Source organism: Homo sapiens, chromosome 4 (genome assembly GCF_000001405.40).
Source record: "Homo sapiens chromosome 4, GRCh38.p14 Primary Assembly".
Classification (NCBI taxonomy): Eukaryota; Metazoa; Chordata; class Mammalia; order Primates; family Hominidae; genus Homo; species Homo sapiens.
The window spans coordinates 76,597,922-76,619,573 of record NC_000004.12 but is presented as its reverse complement, the minus strand read 5'-3'; the positions used below and the strand labels follow the sequence as shown (position 1 = coordinate 76,619,573).

At 40.4% G+C, this 21,652-nt stretch overlaps 1 protein-coding gene and 1 long non-coding RNA gene across 2 annotated transcripts in view; one reads left to right on the top strand and one right to left on the bottom strand.

Annotated features, from left to right (window-relative positions):
- LOC105377290 (uncharacterized) overlaps positions 1-4,478 on the top strand; it is a 32,582-nt gene extending 28,104 nt beyond the window's left edge. The window contains exon 4 of the long non-coding RNA XR_001741404.2: positions 4,071-4,478. This is a non-coding gene — a long non-coding RNA (uncharacterized LOC105377290). The remainder of the gene's footprint in view (positions 1-4,070) is intronic.
- Positions 1-21,652, bottom strand: part of SHROOM3 (shroom family member 3) — a 348,025-nt gene that overhangs the window by 163,680 nt on the left and 162,693 nt on the right. The window lies entirely within an intron of this gene.

The following is a 21,652-nucleotide window of genomic DNA, read 5'->3' as shown; positions in this document are numbered from 1 at the left end:
CTCTTTTACTGCTTGCTTTCACACTTCTATGAAAATAATTGAATAAAAGACCATGGGATTACTCAGTATTTCAGAAATTTTTAGGCAAATGCTTGTATGTTTATAAATTTCACTACAATGTGAAGACATTTGGTCAATAACCCTCTTTAAGAGCAGGCTGCTCTCCCAAGACTGGATTGGTCCATTTAGAAACCTCATATTCCAAGCTGAAGTACCATGACACAGGGACTCAGCACTGTGATCACGGGGCTCCACAGAGAATCCAGCAGAGTAAATCATTTTTCATTCAAACACAATATGGGTCAGAAAGTCAAATTAAGTGTTCTTTGTCCTTTATTGAAAACAAGGAGGATTATATTCTTCAAAAATCACAATTCATTAAAGAAAGGATGGCACATGTTCCAGATTAAAAGAAATGAAAAAGAAGCCTGGGCACAGTGGCTCATGCCTGTAATCCCAGCACTTTGAGAGGCTAAGGCAGGTGGATCATTTAAGGTCAGGAGTTTGAGACCAGCCTAACCAACACTGTGAAACCCCGTCTCTACTAAAAATACAAAAATTAGCCGGGCATGGTGGCAGGTGCCTATTATCCCAGCTACTCAGGAGGCTGAGGCAGTAGAATCACTTGAACCTGGGAGGCAGAGGTTGCAGCCTGGGCAACAGAGTGAGACTTCGTCTCAAGAAAAAATCAACTAAAAAGACATGAGAACTAAATACAATACCAGGCCTGGGAATGGATCCTGTACTGGAAGGAAAAAATAAGCTATAAAGGACATTATTGAGTCAACTAACAAAACAGAAATTCAGAAAATAAAGTATTACATCAATGTTAAAATTACTAGAGTTGACAATTATACTGTAGCTATAAAAGAGAATATCCATGTTCTTAGGAAATATGCATTGAAATATTGAGGCATAAAAGGGCCATACTCTAACTTATCTTCAGTGGTTCAAAAAATATTATAGTACATAGGCTATGTGATAAAGCAAATGGGGGCAATAGGTGAAACTGGATAAAAGGTAAATGAGTGCTTTGTGTACTGTTCTTACTCTTGTAACTTTCCTATTAAGTTTGAAATTATTTTCAAATAAAAAGTTTAAAGATTTAAAAAATTAAGTCCTCAATCTGTATTATTGGTAAGCAGGGTAGCCCATCACATAACAAGGAATCAAAAAATATTTGAGGAATGAATAGTCATTGCATACATCTTTAATATAGTAACTGCTTATGTAAGAGTTGTGGTTTTAACAACATTAATTACTTTTTTTTAGAGACAGTCTCCCTCTGTCATCCAGGCTGGAGTTTAATGGCATGATCATAGCTCACTGCAGCCTTGAACACCTGGACTCAAGTGATCCTTCCACCTCAGCCTCCCCAAGTAGCTAGGCCTATAGGCACATGCCACCACGCCCAGCTAATTATTTTAATTTTCATTTTTAGATATGGAGTCTCCCTGTGTTGCCCAAGCTGGTTTGAAACTCCTGGCCTCAAGCAATCCTCCTGCCTTGGACTCCCAAAGTGTTGGGATTACAGGCGTGAGCCACTGCGCCCAGCCACACTTATATTCATGATGTTCAACTTTTCATGCTTGCCAGCATCTTGTTTCTAAGCTCAGCTCAAATCATACCAATGTGGAGATAGATGTATACATAATTTTCAAACCTAATATACAGTAAACAAACACCTTATGTGTTTACAAGTTTCAAATTCTCATTCTAACAGTTAATATTTTAGTGTTAAAAAAGTTTTAGATTTTACAGGACTATCCAGGTACCTTAAATTTAGTTTTCATATTTTAATTAATATTCTATGTGTTAATTATTGGTTAAAAAATACAATAAATATAGGTCAATTCCTGGAACTCAGAAAACACTATTAGCCTCACACTATACCTTAGAGAATTAAAACTTTAATAACAAACCAAAAACCCTTAGATGATTAAATTACATTTCTGTAATGCAATGAAGTAGTCATACATCTTAGCATAAGTCTACAAAGTTGAAGCCTGAAAAATATCTGACTGTGGTCAAAAGTAAATTTCCTTAGATTACAAAAACTTCTTTGTATTAATGTATCATCAGTCTCATTATTTTCATAATGTCACCCACTGGGACAGAAAAATATTCAGTTAAAGCATTATATATCATTCAAACACCAACATGGTTATTATGTGAATTAAATAAATTCTTTAGGGGAAAAAATGAGTAAAAGTTAATACATCAGGTCAACTCCAAACACAGCCTTTCATTCTGCCTTATAACAACAACAGCAGCTAGCATTATTAATCTATGATCTGCCATGCTCAGTTCTAAATGTTTTATACATTCTCTTACTTGTCTCACAAATAACTCTATTTCTGCAGATAATGAAACTGAGGCACAGAAAGATTAAGTAATTTTCCCAAGGTCTAGTCTAAGACAGAGCCAGGACTTGAACCCAGGATTCTGGCCCTGGAGCCTGTGCTCTTCACCAGGCTCTTCACCCGCACCATTAGCCTGTGCGGGTAATACTCATCCAGTTAAAATACAGTGCTACTTCACCTTTCAAATGCAAAGTAGGTTGATTTTTAAATACACATTCATTTAATTTTGACTTCTGAGATTTGCTCACATTTTGTATCTCTTTTATTATGTGTTTAACTTCACTATCTGTTCCATGTTAACTTCTGCAGGAGGGAAGTCCAATTGGTAGACCAATTATTGTTATTTCTTTAGGTATTTTTAAATTGTGGTAGAATACACATGCAATTTACTATCTGAGCCATTTTTTGGGGAACAGTTCATAGTGTTAAGTGCAAACATATTGCTGCATCCCATCACCACTATCCATCCACAGGATGCTTCTCATCTTGCAAAACTGAAAGTCACCATTAAGCAATAGCTCTCCCTTTCCCCACTTACCCAGTCCCCGACAGCCACCATTCTACTTTTTCTCTCAATGAGTTTGACTACTCTAGGTACCTCAGATAATCGGAATCAGATAGTATTTGTCTTTTTGTGACTGGCTTATTTCACTTAGTATAACATCCTCAAGTTTCATCCATGGGATAGCATGAGTCAGAATTTCATTTTTTTAAGGCTGAATGATATTTCATTGTGTGTGTGTGTGTATGCATATGAATGGATACACTATATTTTGTTTATCCATTCATCTATCAATGAACACTTGGTTGCTTCCACCTTTTGGCTATTGTGAATAATGCTGCTATGAACATGTGTGTACAAATCAGATTATTGTTTATGTAATTTGTTTCCAGATGATTGTTTTAAAAACATTATTTATGATCCAGGAGGCAGGAAATGCATGAGGGTTGGTCCATTCAAGATTCCAAACCAGATTCGAATTACAGAATCTCAAGGTTAAATGAGAACAGGAACTTCGTCTTACCTAACCCCCGTATGATGCTGCAATGTTTTTTTTAGAACATCTGCTACCAAAGTGTTGTCCAACCCCAGGCCTTTTTTATTTTCAAAGAATCTAATGTCAAACCTAATGTCAAACTGACTTCTGCTTCCCTTAACTTTAACCCACTGGTCCTAATTCTGCCCTCTGGAGTCTAATCCTGCTTTCCCATACTGGTCTTTTCAAGTATCAGAAGGCAGACACAACCCCTCTGAGTCTTCTCTCCTCTAAGATAAATATTCTCAGATATGATGACTGAGAAGCCTAGGAGATTAGCGTGGAGTTCCTTGAAGCGAAGGCGTTGTCTTCCTCACTTGATGCACCACTCATATTTGTACACATATCTGAAACTGAGGATTCTTTGATCCTGTCTCCTGATCAAAACTCAAATCCCAGTGAATGTGAATGTGAAACACCCCACATTTTATAAGCCATCCAACTGGGACAGGAATGATCTGAAGGAGAGGTGCTTCCGACTTTCCAGACCTGGCCATGAGCACCTCTCCTAGATCAAGTATTATGCATGCCCTGGGTGCCTCCCCCACTCCTTTCCCTCCACTCCTTCACATGACTACAGTGATGGGTTCACTCTCAATCACCTCTAAAATTCTTAGCTAAAAAACAGTCATTAAGAGCAGGATGATAATTTACTTTCAACTTCTAACAGGATTTGTAAACACCATGATAAATGGGGAGAGGCACAACGCTGCATTCCTCCAGCGGGTCCTCTGAACACACCACGTTTCGGCATCAGTTGGCTTAAATCATTCATTTCAAATCAGGACTGAAATTCTCCAGTGTTCCTGTCAGGCACCCTTCCCATCTGATCCCCTGGAAAGGATATGTCAGTCGAAGTCACAGGTAACACGGTGTATTAAGACTTGAGAGCGTTGATATCAAATCCATTAACTATGCTTTTGGTTGAAGGCGGTACTGACAATATGTAGTAAGCAAAGGGACGATTTTGGGAAAAGGGGAAAAATGTTGAAGGTTCTAATGGCAAGAGTTTAGGCGTGTCTTCAAATGTGCTAGAACTTTGTGCCTCCTGTGTTCATGCTCTGTCCTTGCTGCTTTTGTATCCATGCTCCACACTCCCATTCTCAGCTAGCTTCCTCCTCTGCACCCTGATAAGCTCCTTGATCTCAGAGGGCAACAGTCATTTTTCCCAGAATGGCACAAATCATAGCTCAATTTTTTTCTGGAGAAGAGGGAAGGGATTGGCAAAGGCCTATTGTAGAAAACCATCTGGACTCATTCATAGTCCCATCTCAAATGCCTTATTCAGGACACAACCCTTCCATGAGCCTCTCTGACCCCAGGCCAGCATCTGCAAATGGCATTTGACTCCCAGGCTTGTTTTGGTTGGCCTATACCATGTTATTCCACATAATGCTTTAAAATTTCAAATTGAGTCATTTGTGATGGTTCACTTAAAAATCCAGATTTCTGGCAACACTGGGTCTGCATTCCTTCATCATAAGAACCTATTGAGGAACACCACACATCAGGGCCTGTTAGTGGGTGGGGAGCAAAGGGAGGGAGAGCATTAGGACAAATACCTAATGCATGCAGGGCTTAAAACCTAGATGACAGGTTGATGGGTGCAGCAGACCACCATGGCACATATATACCTATGTAACAAACCTGCACATTCTGCACATGTATCCCAAAATTTAAAGTAAAATAAAAAATAAATAAAAATAAAAATAACCTATTAGAGTTGAGAAGCAGCTGACTCCTTTAGATGGGGCACGAGTCCTCCATTTGCCCCAGTCCTCACCACTCCTCATTGTGTTCTTGAAAAAAGGGCCATTTAGGACCGGGCGCAGTGGCTCATGCCTGTAATCCCAGCACTTTGGGAGGCCAAGGCAGGCAGATCACTAGATAAGCAGATCGAAAGCATCCTGGCTAACATGGTGAAACCCTGTCTCTACTAAAAATACAAAAAATTAGCCGGGCATGGTGGCAGGCGCCTGTAGTCCCAGCTACTCGGGAGGCTGAAGCGGGAGAAGGTGTGAACCCGGGAGGCGGAGCTTGCAGTGAGCCGAGATCTCGCCACTGCACTGCACTCCAGCCTGGGCAACAGAGAGAGACTCTGTCTCAAACAAACAAACAAACAAACAAACAAACAAACAAAACAAAAAACGAAAAAGGGGCCATTTAGATTTTCCGCCTGGAACATTTCATTCATTTGTGTTTCTTTCTTGGTCCTGTAGCCATTTAGGTTTACAAACCTTCTGTCAAAGGCTATTAAATCTGTTTTACAATCTGTAAAATACGGGGGTTGACCTTCTAGCTCTGTGATTATATGATATAGTGGCTTGCTGAGCAAAAGTGATATTGTGTTGTTCTTGATCCCATTTCCTCAGGAGTGAAGTTGAGCATGCAGCATGGCCAATAAAAAGCTGTAGCTGAGTGACCAGCTATCCCCCAGCCCTCTTCTCAGATATGCCCACTACTTGAACCTAGGTATGGCCCTCTCTTCCTTGCTATCAACATTATAACAAGAGGAGTCGAATGGAAGTTGAAGACAGGTTTGAATGGGTGACTTCCATCGAAGCCCTATCTGAGTTTTCCAATTTCCATGCCGAACTGCACATCTGTAGTATGTTCCCAAGACCACTTGAGGACTTTTTATCAAAGCAAAGGAGGTGTTAATGAGACGGATAAGATATTTCTCATGTACTGTTGGTACTTGACTCCTTTCAACTCTGCTAAAACACTAACAATCCATGGTAAATGCTTTATGTGAGCTCTGCATGTGTTCTAAAACTTGACAGCATAAAATAACAGCTTGTCTTGGCTATGAGTATGGACAGCAATTATTGAAGGTGGAGTGTTGAGGACTCACAATTTCAACTTTCTAACAATTAGAGCCATGAAGATAAGAAATGAACTGACTTGTCCAGTAGTGGGAAACCATGCAAGGAGAGGCTGGGTAAGCAGAAATACTGTAGAAGAGTTCCCTGCACTGGACCTAGTGGTGAGGTGGGAGTTAGGGATATTTGAGGAGGAACGCTGAACCACCTGCCTATCCTACAATGCCCCCACCAACTCGTTATGCTGGGAATTCTCCCTTCTGCCTCTGTTTTGTTTTGTTTTTATAACATAGAAGTTGACTGACTTGGTGTTTACCCACCTCATAAGATGCTGGGATAGACTGATATTACATGGATTCAACTCTAACTTAGTTGGCTATTCAATAGTGTCTACTTTTATTTTTTCTTTAGAGACAGGGTCTTGTTCTGTCCCCCAGGTTAGAGTGCAGTGGTGCAATCATATAGCTCACTGCAAACTCAAACTCCTGGCTTCAAGTGATCCTTCTGCCTCTGCCTCCCAAGTAGCTGGGACTACAGGAGCATGCCACCACATCCGGCTTCTTGATTGATTGATTGATTGAGATGGAGTCTTGCTATGTTGCCCAAGCTGTTCTCAAACTACCGGGCTGAATGGATCCTCCTACTTCAGTGTTCCAAAGTGCTGGGATTACAGGTATGAGCCACCATGCCCAGCCTACTTTTTAAAGTATTTGTAACATGTAACTAAATCTTGCCTGAAATAATATCATTATTATACTACATTATTTTTCAGTATAGAAAGTTTAATAATAATAGCAGCTGATATTTTATATGAAGACCACTAAAGCTCTGGCCAAAAGAAAACACTTTTAAGTCTGACAGTAATCCCTTTAGAAGCTACTTAGCATCTCATAATGTTGGGCCCTGGGATTCATTCTCAATTTAAAGGGAGTTAAAACTTACTGACTAACACACCAGTTAGGTCTTCAGATTGTCTCTCCAAAGTTTTAAGTATTTCTATATCATGAGTACTGCTTCCACTTATATCTTTTTTGGCTAAACAAACTAGTTCTATAACTAATATCATCTTCCAACTAGCCAGAGGTTTAACTAGAAAATCCTGCCATAGGAGAGAAGCAGGATACATGCAGCTGCACACAGATTAAAATTTTGCTCCTTCCTTTAGATGTATAATATTATTACTGGATACTGCCATATGTGGATGGAAAAATATACCTCCAAATCAAAAGGCAGAATTCCCTCTGAGCGGGTTTAGAGTAGAGGAATAGAAACACTTGGGTTTTACAACAATGAGAGGAGGCAGAGGCAAGCAGGGGGTTTGGATCAGAAAGAACTGTGTCTGAGCAAGTTTTTCCTTGGAGAAAATGAAAACATTGTTCTAAGAATATTTCAAGAAGGAAAATGTGTGTTATTCAACATGGAACTGATTCAGCCTGTGTTGAACAAACAAACTTCCATGGCTGATGATCCGGACACTGGGTGAAGATGATAATCCTTTCAGGTATGATTCGCCAGAAACTCCAGAAGCTGGAGCCAGCACAGGGTGTGCCTGACGGGCAGTCTCCCCAAGTCAGGCTGATCCAGAGGCTGGGCATGTTCCGTGTGTTTCCTTGTAGAGTTCCTGGTATGGCGTGCACACTAGGTAAATATTAAAGAACTTTCCTCTGCCTAGCTTCATTACCCAAGGACACTGTGACCTTAAGAAGTTCTTATCAATGGAGGGCAAATATAAAAACAGTAAGGAGTTTGCCCTAAATTACAGCCAGAAAGTTCACTACGTAAAAACTGGGAGTCTCAGTTTCTTCAGGGAGCCAGGATGCCCCTTTAGCATCCAGGAATGACTTCCTATCACCCCACCGTTTTCTCACTTTTGCTAAATTGACTCAAAAGGAGGTGGCTCCCTTGTGCCCCTTCACCCCTGCCATGGCTCTTAGAAAAAAATCCAGCATTCCCGATAAGAAATAACCAAAACAACGAGATCGTTTGAATTCCACTGAGACCAATTCATCATGCAGTGTTAAAAAAAAAAAATCCTTCACACTCTCCAAGTTAAATAATCAGAATGAGAACGCAGACTTTAAGAGAGAGAGAGAGAGAGACACAGAGAGAGGGCGCACAAAGTCAACTGGAATTTGGGAGCTGAGGCAAGAAGTAACTTTAAAAAAATCATCTTCAACTCACTTAAAGATTGGTAGTGGTGATGGTTGCACAACAATGTGAAGGTGCTTAATGCCACCAAATTATACACTTAAAATGGTTAAAATGGTCAATTTAATGTTATGTATACTTTACTGCAATTTTTTTAATGGGAAAAAAATCACCTTAGAACTCTTCAAGCAAGCCCCTCCCCCATCCCTATCCACAGTGGAGGACAAATGGGTTGAGATTGTTGTGAAATAGTTTCTCATTTGAGGGAGGGCTACTGAACTTGGAGGAAAGCAGCCCCTCTCGTCACCAATTGCCTGAATCTTAACCCCCCAGCTGGGTCTGGAGAAAACATGTTCATCAGTGAGAACCTGCACACGAAATCCCTGACTCACCTTTGACTTTGGATCTCTCAATCAACAGAATAGGGAGATAACCTTAAGATCTGGAGAGGGGTAACGGCAGGATCCCTCTACACGGATGCCAACAGCTTTAAAAATAAAACCCAAATTACAGAAGAAATCATGGAAAGGCTGGGAGTGGATTCCCAAAGGTGTACATTAGTGGAAAAAACACACATATGAACAAAACAAGAATCAAATCACTACAAGAGTGTATCAAGATTTGTGGATATTTAGGAAATATATAAAAGTGGACAGCGGAAGACGAGGGGATGCAGTTATTTCAGCAACAAGAGGCTTCATCTCCAAATTTCACATTAATACATAAAGTAAAACACAAACCACTCTACTTTTTTTTGGTGTTTCAATATAATCTTCAAACCAGAAAAACTCTCAGTCTGCTAAAGGTTACTAAAAATCAAATTCTGAAGCTATGGCCACTTTTTAGGAAATTCAAAATTACCAGAAATGAACAGCTGTGATTTTGCTAAACAAAGAAAACCTTTCCACAAAATGCCAACATCTAACTCATACCTCGATGGCATATCACTCAATGAGAGTGAAAAAGTAAACATTTTCTGAAATGAGGGTGATTTTTTTTGGCTAGACAACTGCCACATGGTGGTTATCTTCTCTTTTAGTTTTACAATAAGGAAAGACAGGCACTGGCTTATTTGCTTTGGTTTGACAGATGATGGTCAAGCGTAGCTTTGAGATTATATCCTCATTACCCTTTATGAAGGAAAACAAAGTACAATCCATTTTCCTTGCAGAAAAGTCTTCCCCTTTCTTGCCCAGGAGATTTTTCAAAGTCATTCTCTCCTTGTCCTCCAAAAGATAAATAAAAATAAAACAAAATGGGTACCAGGTAGCAACAGCTTCCTGAGACAAGTTTGAAAATCTAAACTCGAGCCTAATAAGATGTTCACAGTTCAGTAGCATCTACTGAAAAAAAGTAAATTAATGTTATCTTTTATATTGTTACTTCCAGACAGAATACATAATGGTGTAAACATGATATTCTAGACTCTCTATTTAGGTAAATGTTAGGAAGTGGTGGATGGGCACAAAAGACTTAATTGCCTGCTAACACTGCTCTTAACATCTAGTCTATTCTGATAGACTGGGGTCATTTGAAAGGAAACTAAGAGTTTACAACGTAATTTGTTTTTTCACATTTCTTTTTTAAAGACTTCTGATCCTGAAGAGAAACATGGTCAGATACAGATTCTGAGGGCCAGTTGCAATGGCTCACGCCTGTAATCCCAACAGTTTGGGAGGCTGAGGCAGGAGAATCTCATGAGGCCAGCCTAGGCAACATAGTAAGACCCTATCTCTCCAAAACAAAAACAAAAATTAGCTGGGCATGGTGGCATAAATCTGTAGTCTTAGCTACCCAGGAGGCTGAAGCAAGAGGATTGCTTGAGCCCAGGAGTTTGAGGTTACAATGAGCTGTGATCTGTGTTCCAGCCTGGCTGACAGAGCAAGATCCTGTCTCCAAAACAAACAAACAAACAAACATACCAAAACAGATTGTCTATATGGACTATGATGTACTAGAGGCCTGGAAAAAGATTACTTGAATTTGCAAGGTTCAATGTATACTCCAGAAATGAAATAACTGCACTTCTCCATTCAGTTATCAGGAAATTATAAACATATACAAGCTTTCCTAAATGTTGAATGGTTAGAGAAGTGTTCTTGTTAATTGTATATCCTAATTCACTTAGTAAAATATTCTGGATATTAACACCTTGTCAGACATATTATTTGCAAGTATTTTCTCCTATACCCCTAAGTTTTATTTGGGACCTGAGATTTGCATTTCTAACAAGTTCCCAGGTAATGCTGCTGGTCCAGGGCCCAAGATTTGAGAACCACTGCTTTCCATAGCAAGTGTTCAGCACTTTACATGTATTAACTCACCCAAGTCTCATATTATCATTCTTGTTTTACTGAGGGAGAAATGGATTCTCAAAGAGATGAAGTAACTTGCTCAAGGTTATTCCACTAAGTGGTAAAGCAGGGGTTTTCCCCAGGCCTTCTAACCTGACACTGTGCTATGCTATGCTATGCTGTGCTGTGCTGTGCTGTGCTGTGCTGTGCTGTGCTGTGCTGTGCTGTGCTGTGCTATGCTGTGCTATGCTATGCTATGCTATGCTATGCTATGCTATGCTATACCATCTCTGTCCAATGCTATGCTATGCTATGCTATGCTATGCTATGCTATGCTATGCTATGCTATGCTATGCTATGCTATGCTATGCTATGCTATGCCATCTCTGTCCAATCAATCAAATCAGCTTTCCGGAGAGTATAATCTAATGACCAGGCCAATGGACTGAGAGAACAACAGGTGATGCTTTGCAAGCTCTGCCTCTTTTTCTTTAAATCAGAACTTTCCTTGAATGTTGCATTCTGGCTTCATTAAGATGAGTTGATTAGTAAAAGGAATCTGCTCTAAGGTAATGGGGAAAATGGTAGTGAGGGGAGAGAGACAGGGTGGGGGGCACTTGCCAAAGTGAAGCTGGACCAGGCTCACTGATGAACGAATGCGCTCCCTCGAGAGCTAAAAACTGTGCTTTGGTAGATTAGGCAAGTGTTGTGCCTTCTTCCCAAGGTTGTGTATGCTTGGACATTTCCTCAATAGCAGCTCTATTCAGTCAAGTCCACAACCAGCCCATATGAGGCTTTTCTTTGTTTGCAGGAGGAGAAGGCATCCCTCAGCCTATGTAGTCAGCCTCACAGATGCCTGGCCAGGCCAGTGAAGTAGGGGTGGGTTGCAGGCCCCTGGTGCTACCTAACTGGGCACTGTTTTGGAGTGAACAGCCTGCACAGCTAGAGGTTAAAGCATGATAAAGTGAAGTAAGTCATCAGCACTCTTGCTATATTTTAACAACCTTCATAAAGGTTAATGTTACTACTGATTAAAATGGCTTGGGAGTATATAAGGTCTCCCAGTTACTCATTTCCATGGATTACCAGGGGCTAGTGGTAACTATGCCCTATGGGTAAAAACAATTCATGGTTTCATGATGCCCACGTGGTGACTTATTTTGATGTAAAGATGGCTATTTAAAGCCTGCCTTGAAACCCTGTCCTTTATTAACCACAAGAAAAAAAAAATGCACCCCTCATAGAAACCAGGCCCAACAGCATTATTGCAGAACCTGTTGCTTTTGTGTTAGACTTTACAGCTGCAAACTGAAACCTGGTGGTTTGTGGCCAGTAATAAATAGAAAATGCGGAGGTCCCTGGATGAAGACATGAGTTTTTATTTGTCTTCAGATATTGACATTCCCCAGAGCCACCATAACAAAAACAGAATTAAGATGCAAAAGGAATTCAAGACTTTCCTTTGCTATCCCACGTCTGGGAATCTTTTCAAATTTAAATGAATATCTGTCAAACTAATTAAGAGAAGATGCAATGCTCTTGTTCTGTACTCATTAGAGAGCAACTTACTGGTCATAAATTCCTCAGAGTGTGGGAGTGAATAGGTCTCTACCCTCTAGCTTAAGATTCTTGGCTTTGTTTATTTCCAGTTCAGTCTGTTCATCTCCTAGACCCAGAAGGACCACAAAATATGTACTAAATCAAGCTTTAGTTCCATAAAACAGAAATAGATCAGATTTTGAGATGTTGCAACTGATGCTTTTAGTCAATAAAACTGGAGGAAATGATGAGTATTTGTTTGTATTTGAATGGCATCTTTTTTCCCAAGATGCTTTATATTCCTGAGCACACTGCAAATCTCAAATGTTTCACACACACACACATACATATAAATATGACACACACACACACACAGTTTTTGAACACACTGCCATTTTTGAAGATTTTGAAATTGAGGCACAGTAAGCTGATTTGGTAAAAAATATGGAAATTGTCAGAGTCAGAGTAGAGTTTAGCATACCAAGACCACTTTCTACAAGCTGCTACAGCATTTTTTGGACTCCTGCCAGCTACCCAGTACAATACTATGTATGTAATTTAATGTATAATGCATGTAATTTATACTCCCAGGAACTCTAGAGGTAAAGGTTTTTACTCCCATTTTATTTATTTATGTACGTATGTATGTATGTATGTATTTATTTTTTGAGAGGGAGTCCTGCTCTGTTGCCCAGGCTGGAGTGGAGTGGTGTGATCTCAGCTCACTACAACCTCTGCCTCCAGGGTTCAAGTGATTGTCCTGCCTCAGCCTCTCAAGTAGCTGAGATTACAGGCACCTGCCACCAGGCCTGGCTAATTTTTGTATTTTAGTAGAGATGGGGTTTCACTATATTGGTCAGGCTGGTCTCCAACTCCTGACCTCAAATGATCCACCCGCCTCCCAAAGTGCTGGGATTACAGGTGTGAGCCACTGCACCCAGCCTTTACTATCATTTTACAGATAAAAAACCAACATTCAGAGTAGCTAACATGCACCACACTGGTAAGCAGCAGTCGGTAGTAAGCATAACACTTAAAAGTATTTGTTTGTTTAAAATATATAGTATTTGGTGGCTCACACCTGTAATCCCAGCACTTTGGGAGGCCGAGGCAGGCAGATCACAAGGTCAAGAGATTGAGACCATCCTGGCCAACTTGGTGAAACCCTGTCTCTACTAAAAATACAAAAATTAGCTAGGCGTGGTGGCAGGCGCCTGTAATACCAGCTACTTAGGAGGCTGAGGCAGGAGAATCGCTGGAATCCGGGAGGTGGAGGTTGCAGTGAGCCGAGATTGCACCACTGCACTCCAGCCTGGCAACAGAGTGAGACTCCGTCTCAGAAAAAAAAAAAAAAAAAAAAAAATATATATATATATATATGTGTGTGTGTGTATATGTGTATATATATGTATATATATATGTGTATATATATATATAGAGAGAGAGAGAGAGAGAGAAAATTGTGCCTTTAATACATTTTTGGAACTATGAAATGATAAAGAGTGATTCTGTATCAAAGGTGTTATAGAAAGAAATTGAATGGTAGCTATTAGAATTTCTACCAAGGGTCTTTAAGGTCACATTTTAGAAAACAAGGATTTTTTCCATCTATTTAAAAGCATACATCTTTTCATTTTTTCTGTTTTTGTTTTTGCTCTGGGATTTATGCCACTGAAAAAATATTTTCCCCCTCTTCAGCAACTTAATTAGGTTTTTTCCCTTTGTTGTCACTTAGCTGAGTTACATAGTTCTCTCAACAACTAAGCAATTCTATTTGACCATTTATTTATAGTTTCCTTTTTGCTATTTATTTCTTAAATAGGATTATTTTAATTTCTGCTTACCCAAGTTAGAGGAATGAGTCATACCTGCCTGTTCTCTGACAGTTTAAGGGGATACAAAATGGGATGTGTTGAGGCTAAAAGGCATGCCTAGTTCAAATCTAATTTATGGTGCTCATTATTTTTCCAACTTTTCTTAGAATTTTTATAATGAGAACTGTTCTCTCCCACTAGAATGCAATAAAATGGTGCCTCGAAATCCTCTTCCGGGCTGTATGTCATTTAGGTATTTCCCGGGCAAATCCTAGCTGTTGATTTCTCCACTTGTTTTTAATTAAAGTTCACTCTGATGATGCTGTCATGGCCATGACTCCACTGCTGCACCGACAACATTGAAGTCATCATGAAATAGGGCTGACTGATCTTCCTACAACAAATCTTTCCACACGTACACTCATACTGATGCTTTTACCGCCATGGGGACATTACTTTTCAAGCCTGCATTTGAGCTGTGTAAGAGGTATTTAAATCCAAATCAGTTTAATGTTTATTAGTAATGCTTCATTCAGCACTATATCAAAGGTGCATGCACCTTGACCCTTGAGGAATTCAATCCAGGGAAATATATTAGATTGATTTTTGGCATTTTAGAGACAAAATGGACCCTACAGATAAACTAGTTCACATTTTTGGTTTCATAGATAAGTAACTCCTTAGCCTTATATAGTCAGCTAATTGTTTACTTACTACAAATTCAATCTAAAATCAACAGAATAAATTCCTAGAAATCTTATTTTGAACGCAAGGTCACTTTTGTCTTACAAAACTTACTATTTTAGTGTTTCAACATCCCTGCTATTTCTGTTTCCTATACTGCCTTAGATGGTTGTGATTTCAAAAGTTTCAGACATTGTCTAACAATTATCAACATCAATGCTTAAAAAACAATGATTTCTAATATTTTCATGGCATCCTTCAGGTGGACGGTTACCATTTGAACATTTTAATGAAGGCATTCCAACTTTGAAGAGATCATTTTGATCAAGTGCCTTTGTTCACCAGAATAACACACAGACAACTTAGATACCACACTAAATTTAGTTAAGCTCAAAAGCAATCATGTGTCTTTATGTAGGAAAGCAAGTGAGACATGTTCTAGAAAATAAATTGAAAACCCAAAGCTGCAAAACCATCTTTACCTGTTTGTGTACAGCATTTTGATCCTATCATGCATTAGGAACAATAAATATTATACAACATGTCAGCAACTTGGCATAAATATAGCCAGACCATATTTGATATCAACATCCTTTAAAGCACAATCAACCAGTAGCCCCCAAGTATTACAACAGGCTAAAAGTGTTGAAAACATCCTCTTCCAAGGCAGCCAGAGGCTCCAATTCTAATAAATGTCCTTGGCTGCCTGAAGACTGAGATGCTCTACAGGCTTAAGAATACAAGATGCAGTCGGGCACAGTGGCTCACGCCTGTAATCCCAGCACTTTGGGAGGCCGAGGTGGGCGGATCATGAGGTCAGGAGTTTGAGACCAGCCTGGCCAACATAGTGAAACCCCATCTCTACTAAGAGATGGGGTGGCAGGTGCTTGTAATCCCAACTACTCGGGAGGCTGAGGCAGGAGAATCACTTGAACCAGGGGGGCAGAGGTTGCAGTGAGCTGAGATCGCGCCACTGCACTCCAGCCTGGGAGACAGTGCAAGACTCCATCTCAAAAAAAAAAAAAAAAAAAAAAGAATACAAGATGCTTGTTCTCACTCATAAGGGGAGTTGAACAATGAGAACACATGGACACAGGGAGGGGAACATCACACACCAGGACCTTTTGCAGGGTTGGGGGCTGAGGGAGGGATAGTGTTAGGAGAAATACCTAATGTAAATAACGAGTTGATGGGTGCAGCAAACCAACATGGCACATGTATACCTATGTAACAAACCTGCATGTGGGCACATGTGCCCTAGAACTTAAAATATTAAAAAAAAGAAGAAGAAAAGAAAGAATACAAGATGGTGGTCTTATTCCATTACTTTATATGGTCATACTACATAGAAAGTCAGAGGCTTTGATCATAAATCAATCAATAGATGTCCTGTTAGTTGCAAAGTACGGTTTTTTTTTGTTTGTGGGTTTTTGTTTGTTTGTTTGTTTTTGTTTTGAGACAGAGTCTCATTCTCTTGCCCAGGCTGGAGTGCAGTGGCCCAATCTTGGCTCACTGCAACCTCCACCTCCCGGGTTCAAGTGATTCTCCTGCCTCAGCCTCCCAAGTAGCTGGGACTACAGGTGCGTGCGACCACACCCAGCTAATTTTTTGTACTTTTAGGAGAGACAGGGCTTCACCGTGTTAGCCAGGATGGTTTCGATCTCCTGACTTCATGATCCGTTCTCCTCGGCCTTCCAAAGTGCTGGGATTACAGGTGTGAGCCACCACGCCCAGCCAAGTATGTGTTTTTAAAAGATAACTATCTCCAGGAACATGTGGAATCAGAATTAAGTGCCTTTATACCACATTACACTTGGGAAAGCTGCAATGGGTCTATCGATCAGTCCATCTTTAGTACAAATACAGAAAAATAAAATACAATGCAACAATAATGATGACAATAAAAATAATGTATCTTGAGCATTTACTATGTGCTAGTTACATGCATAACTCATTCAATTCTTATAATCACCTTCTAAGAAAAATACTATGACTGTTATCCTCATTTTGAAGATAAGGAAACCGAGGCACCAGGAGGAAAGTGATCTGTCTAAGGTTGCACGGTCACAGAGTGTCAGTGGCAGAGCCAGGATTTTAATCCAGGCAGTCTGGCTCCAGGGTCCACCTTCCTAACTCTTCTGTCGTATTTATACAGTGAGTTCCACTGAAGTATCTGGAGATACATTCACATTTATCATAATGAAAAGTAATTTGTTTTCCTAGGGCTGGACCAAGAGAGATCCAATTTAACACCAACCTATTTCATATAATGAAGTTTATTTATTGTAATTAAATTTAATTTTGCCTACTATATATCAATATATTGCCACTAGTAAGCCCCAGAACTGGGTAATCTTTCAAGATAAAGCAAAAGAATTCTAACGAAAAAAAAAATCAAGAAAATTAACATATGGCTGTATCATTTATTATAAATTTCTGTATTTTAACAGTTTTCAATAGACAAATGCATAGAAAAATGTGGACTTAACTTTATATGTTGTAAGATATAAATACATAAAATCTAGGAGAGAAATCCTTTGTCCAACATTTCTTTTTCCTGTAGGTGATGACCTACAGGACTTTGTAATTTTTTTTTAGTTATTCTTAAAATCATTTGAGTTTTCTTTGTATTAGGAGCAGTACTTATCATAGGGATTGGGATGGTAAGTATTCAATAAATAGTTCATAAAATAAGTCAAGGAAAACAGAGGAGAAAGATTGAAAGGAACGTTCTGTAATTGCTCCTGGATGGCTTCACACTTGGCAAGTATTTGAAAAGCCAGCTTTCCCTTTCCTTGAAGGGGAGTGTTGAAATGTGAAGGCATTTCCTCAACCAACTTCGTTCTTCTGCTCTCTTTATCACCACAAAACAGCTGTGTGTCCACAGAGTGCTGAACCAATCAGCTGAGAAGTGAACCCTTGAATCAACCTGGTTGTTGTTTTTTTGCAGTCACAATCTTTCAAGCATCTGGCCTGAGGACTTTGGGGACTGAATTGTCTGACAATTTGAGAGCTATATATAAAGAAGATAGTCCAGACTAAACCTATAAGAAAGTAGAGGAGTAAGGCTGGGCGCCGTGGCTCACACCTGTAATCCCAGCACTTTGGGAGGCCAAGGTGGATGGATCACCTGAGGTCAGGAGTTCGAGACCAGCCTGGCCACCAACATAGTGAAATCCTGTCTCTACTAAAAATACAAAAAATTAGCTGGGCTTGGTGGCGCACCTGTAGTCCCGGCTACTCAGGAGGCTGACGCAGGAGAATCGCTTGAACCTGGGAGGCGGAGGTTGCAGTGAGCTGAGATCACGCCACTGCACTGCAGCCTGGACGATAAATAAATAAAAAAGAAAGCAAAGGAGTATATTTTCCTTACATAACCTGAGGAAAATAATTTCAATTAACAGGATGGCTAATTTCTTGCTGAAAGAGACAGTCCAGTGGTAGAAGCTCCCAACAGCTGTTATTTAACTCAGTGTTTCTCAGCCTTGGCATTACTGACAATTGGGGCCAGGTAATTCTCTACTGGGGGGCCTTTCCTGTGCATTGCAGGATTTTGGCAGCATCTCTGACCTCTACCCACTAGATGCCAGTAGCACGACCCCCTCCCCACACCACACACAGTTGTGACTACTAAAAATGTCTCCAGATATTGTTAAATGTCCCCTGGAGGGAAATCGCCTCTAGCTGAGAACCACTGATGTAAATTTTTAACTGTCACCAAATTTTATTTCTGTTTTACAGCAAACTATGGGTGGCTAATTTTAAACACTCTGAAAACTTATCTTCCTTCTCAAAGGCATGGGATGGTGCAGAAGTAATTGTGGCTTTTGCCGTTAAAGTAATTGCGAAAACTGTAATTACTTTTGCACCAACCTAATAGATTTTAGAGTAGTATAAAAATACAGACTTTCCACTTTTCCTAGTCCCTGATTCTGTTTGATTTTTGTGGTTGCTTCATGAGGATTCAGTGGCAATCAAAACCAGTAATACTTAAACATGTATTTCTTATCTCAGGTATTTTTACAATATTAACTCCTGAATTCTCACCACTCCCTTTTCTACAGGTGAGATAAGAAAAATACTCGTTTGTTTTCAGTTACAATACAATATAAAAATGTTGTTAATCTGTAAAAGCATCAAATGAGAGCATTTATAAAAATTTCCATATTGCACCTATGGGCAATGAAAACTGGCAGCACCATCAGGAACATTCCAGAGCAATGACCAAAGTTACAGTCACCCGGTCTCTTATCAAGACCATTTCTTGATAAGAAAGTTGAAGTACATTTTCTTTAGGTGCTATTAGCTGCTGAAGCCATGGACTGGTAGTTAATTAATGTGCTTTATTGAATTATTAATGTAATATCAAGTGTAGCTTCAGTGGCCTATTGTATCCTAGGAAAACACCTTGATCATGTGAAAGCTGAAAGTACCACAGTTTTCTGCTTTCTTTCCAGTGATTTCAATAGTCTAATGGTATGCTTCTCTGTCCCAAGCATAATCAGCACAGTATCTCAAGACACATCAGGAAGGAGCAAGCCATGTATATAACCTACTCTTTGACTCACGTGGCATGGAACTCTTTCTCCTCAGGTTAACCCATAAAGAAGGCAACGTGATATACAATCAGCATCTAATAGATGCAGGCCCAAGGAATAATCAAAGGCTGCAAAAGCAAGTTGGTTGTTTATTTTTTGGGTTTTTGTTTGTTTGTTTGTTTGGAGACAGGGTCTCACTCTGTCACCCAGGCTGGAGTACAGTGGCACAATCATGGCTCACTGCAGCCTTGACCTCCTGGGCTCAAGCCATCTTCCCACCTCAGCCTCCTGAGTAGCTGGGACTAACAGGCTTGTGCCACCACACCTGGCTAATTTAAAAAAAAAATGTTTTTTTAGAAATAGGGTCCGCTATGTTGTCCTGGGCTCAAGCAATCCTCCCACCTTGGCCTCCCAAAGTGCTGGGATTCCAGGTGCCATATCTTTTCTTGATATCTGAACACTGGCATTAATAACAAGTACAGTAGCACCAACAAAGTCCATTTCCACAGCCACCACTTGTGACCAGCATGTGGCCTGCAGGTCCTATGCCAAGCACTCCACTTTCCTTAACCCTCGTAACAGCTCCATGAGGAAACTGTATTTCCCTACATTTTACAGATGAGGTTCACAGAGATAAGTATTCTGCCCAAAGTGACAGATGGTGATGAACTAGGAATTCAAACCCAGGACCATTCAACTTCAAAGCCTGTGCTAGGACACCGTCATGATGAGCACAGGGAGACAGAAAGAATGCTGCTGCCATGTCCACCATCAGAAACAAAACAAAAAACTGCTTTCTCCAAAAACAATGAGAAAGGGTTTAAGATACCCTAGATTTATATTATTTTCATCTTGAAAGAAAGAATAAAGGAGATGAACTAGCTTTCTGCAGCTGGGCATTACTCTCTGACCTATCTTGAATGGGCAGATTATCCACTACAGGGGATTTTGCTGTGCTTGAATGGGATCACAACGCAAAAGATCCTACAGTTTCCTTTCATATCAATTGCTCATTCTCTGAAGGGACACAACTAAGGATCAAGGTGTTTTTCGTCTGTCTCAAAAGCTACTACTGAAGCCCTCCTCTTACTCTTTAACCACCGTGATTATATAAAGAACGCTTTTATTGTTATTATTCAACAGGTAACACCTCAGCACACACTATGGCAAAGTTCTTGGGTTTATTGATCTTTACGGGGATGTGATAATCTCCCACTGAGCTGCTAAAGCTAAAACCCTAGGAGTCATCCTCCTCGCCTTGCACCCCTGCACCCAAGCAGCCAGCCCGTCACCAAGTCTACCTGCTGTACCTTCTGGATATTCAATGCACCACTTCCTTTCCTTCCCCTCCCACAGCTGTCATTCAGGCCCCCATTATTTTTCACCTGGAGCAGCCTTTTCTCACTAGTTTCTTTTCCTTCAGACTTAACATCTTGAAAACCACCTCCCAAAATGCAGCCAGAATGGTCTTTCGTAAGCACAAGTCCGATTTTGTCACTACTCTGCCTTTTAATTATTTATTAATGTCCCATCACCTTTCTGGGTTCTGTTCAAACTCATGAGCATCCTCACATACACTCTTTAGTCAAAGAATACTAAATACACTCAGACAGGGCTACCCCCTGCCCACGTGGCCCCTTGTCAAACCAGAAAAAGACACCTCCTCCAGGTGGATACAGCTGCACCAGGGGGCGAAGCACGGGCTGAATTTTAGCCCCTGCTCCCCACTTCCTGGCCACCTCTACCCCATCTCCACCTTGACTTTTAGCAGGTCACAAGTGTGCCATCAGCCCTGCAGCCCTGACTTAAGGTTCTCTTTGAGTACCTCTCTGTCTTTGTGTAAGCTACTTTGTCTAGCTAGAATGTCTTCACTCACTAAATCCATCTACCAAATGCCTGTTCATCTTTCCAAAGATCAAGACAATCATCCTCCTACAAGAAGCTTTCATCTTTTCTATGCTGCCAGAAAAGCTTCATCATAGCATGACTGTTATAATCATAGATTTTTTGGCCAGGTGTGGTGGCTCACGCCTGTAATCCCAGGACTTTCGGAGGCCGAGGTGGGCTGATCACGAGGTCAGGAGATCGAGACCATCCTGGCTAACACGGTGAAACCCCGTCTCTACTAAAAATACAAAAAATTAGCCAGGCGTGGTGGCAGGCGCCTGTAGTCCCAGCTACTCGGTAGGCTAAGGCAGGAGAATGCCCATGAACCCAGGAGGCGGAGCTTGCAGTGAGCAGAGATCGTGCCACTGCACCCCAGCCTGGGCAACAGAGCAAGACTCCATCTCAAAAAAAAAAAAAAAAAGTCATAGATTTTTCTCATCTACTTTCACCAGTAGATGCTGCATTCTCTGAAAGCAAGAACCTGGTCCTTCAGATTTGCATGCTCACAAAGCCTAGCACAGTGCCT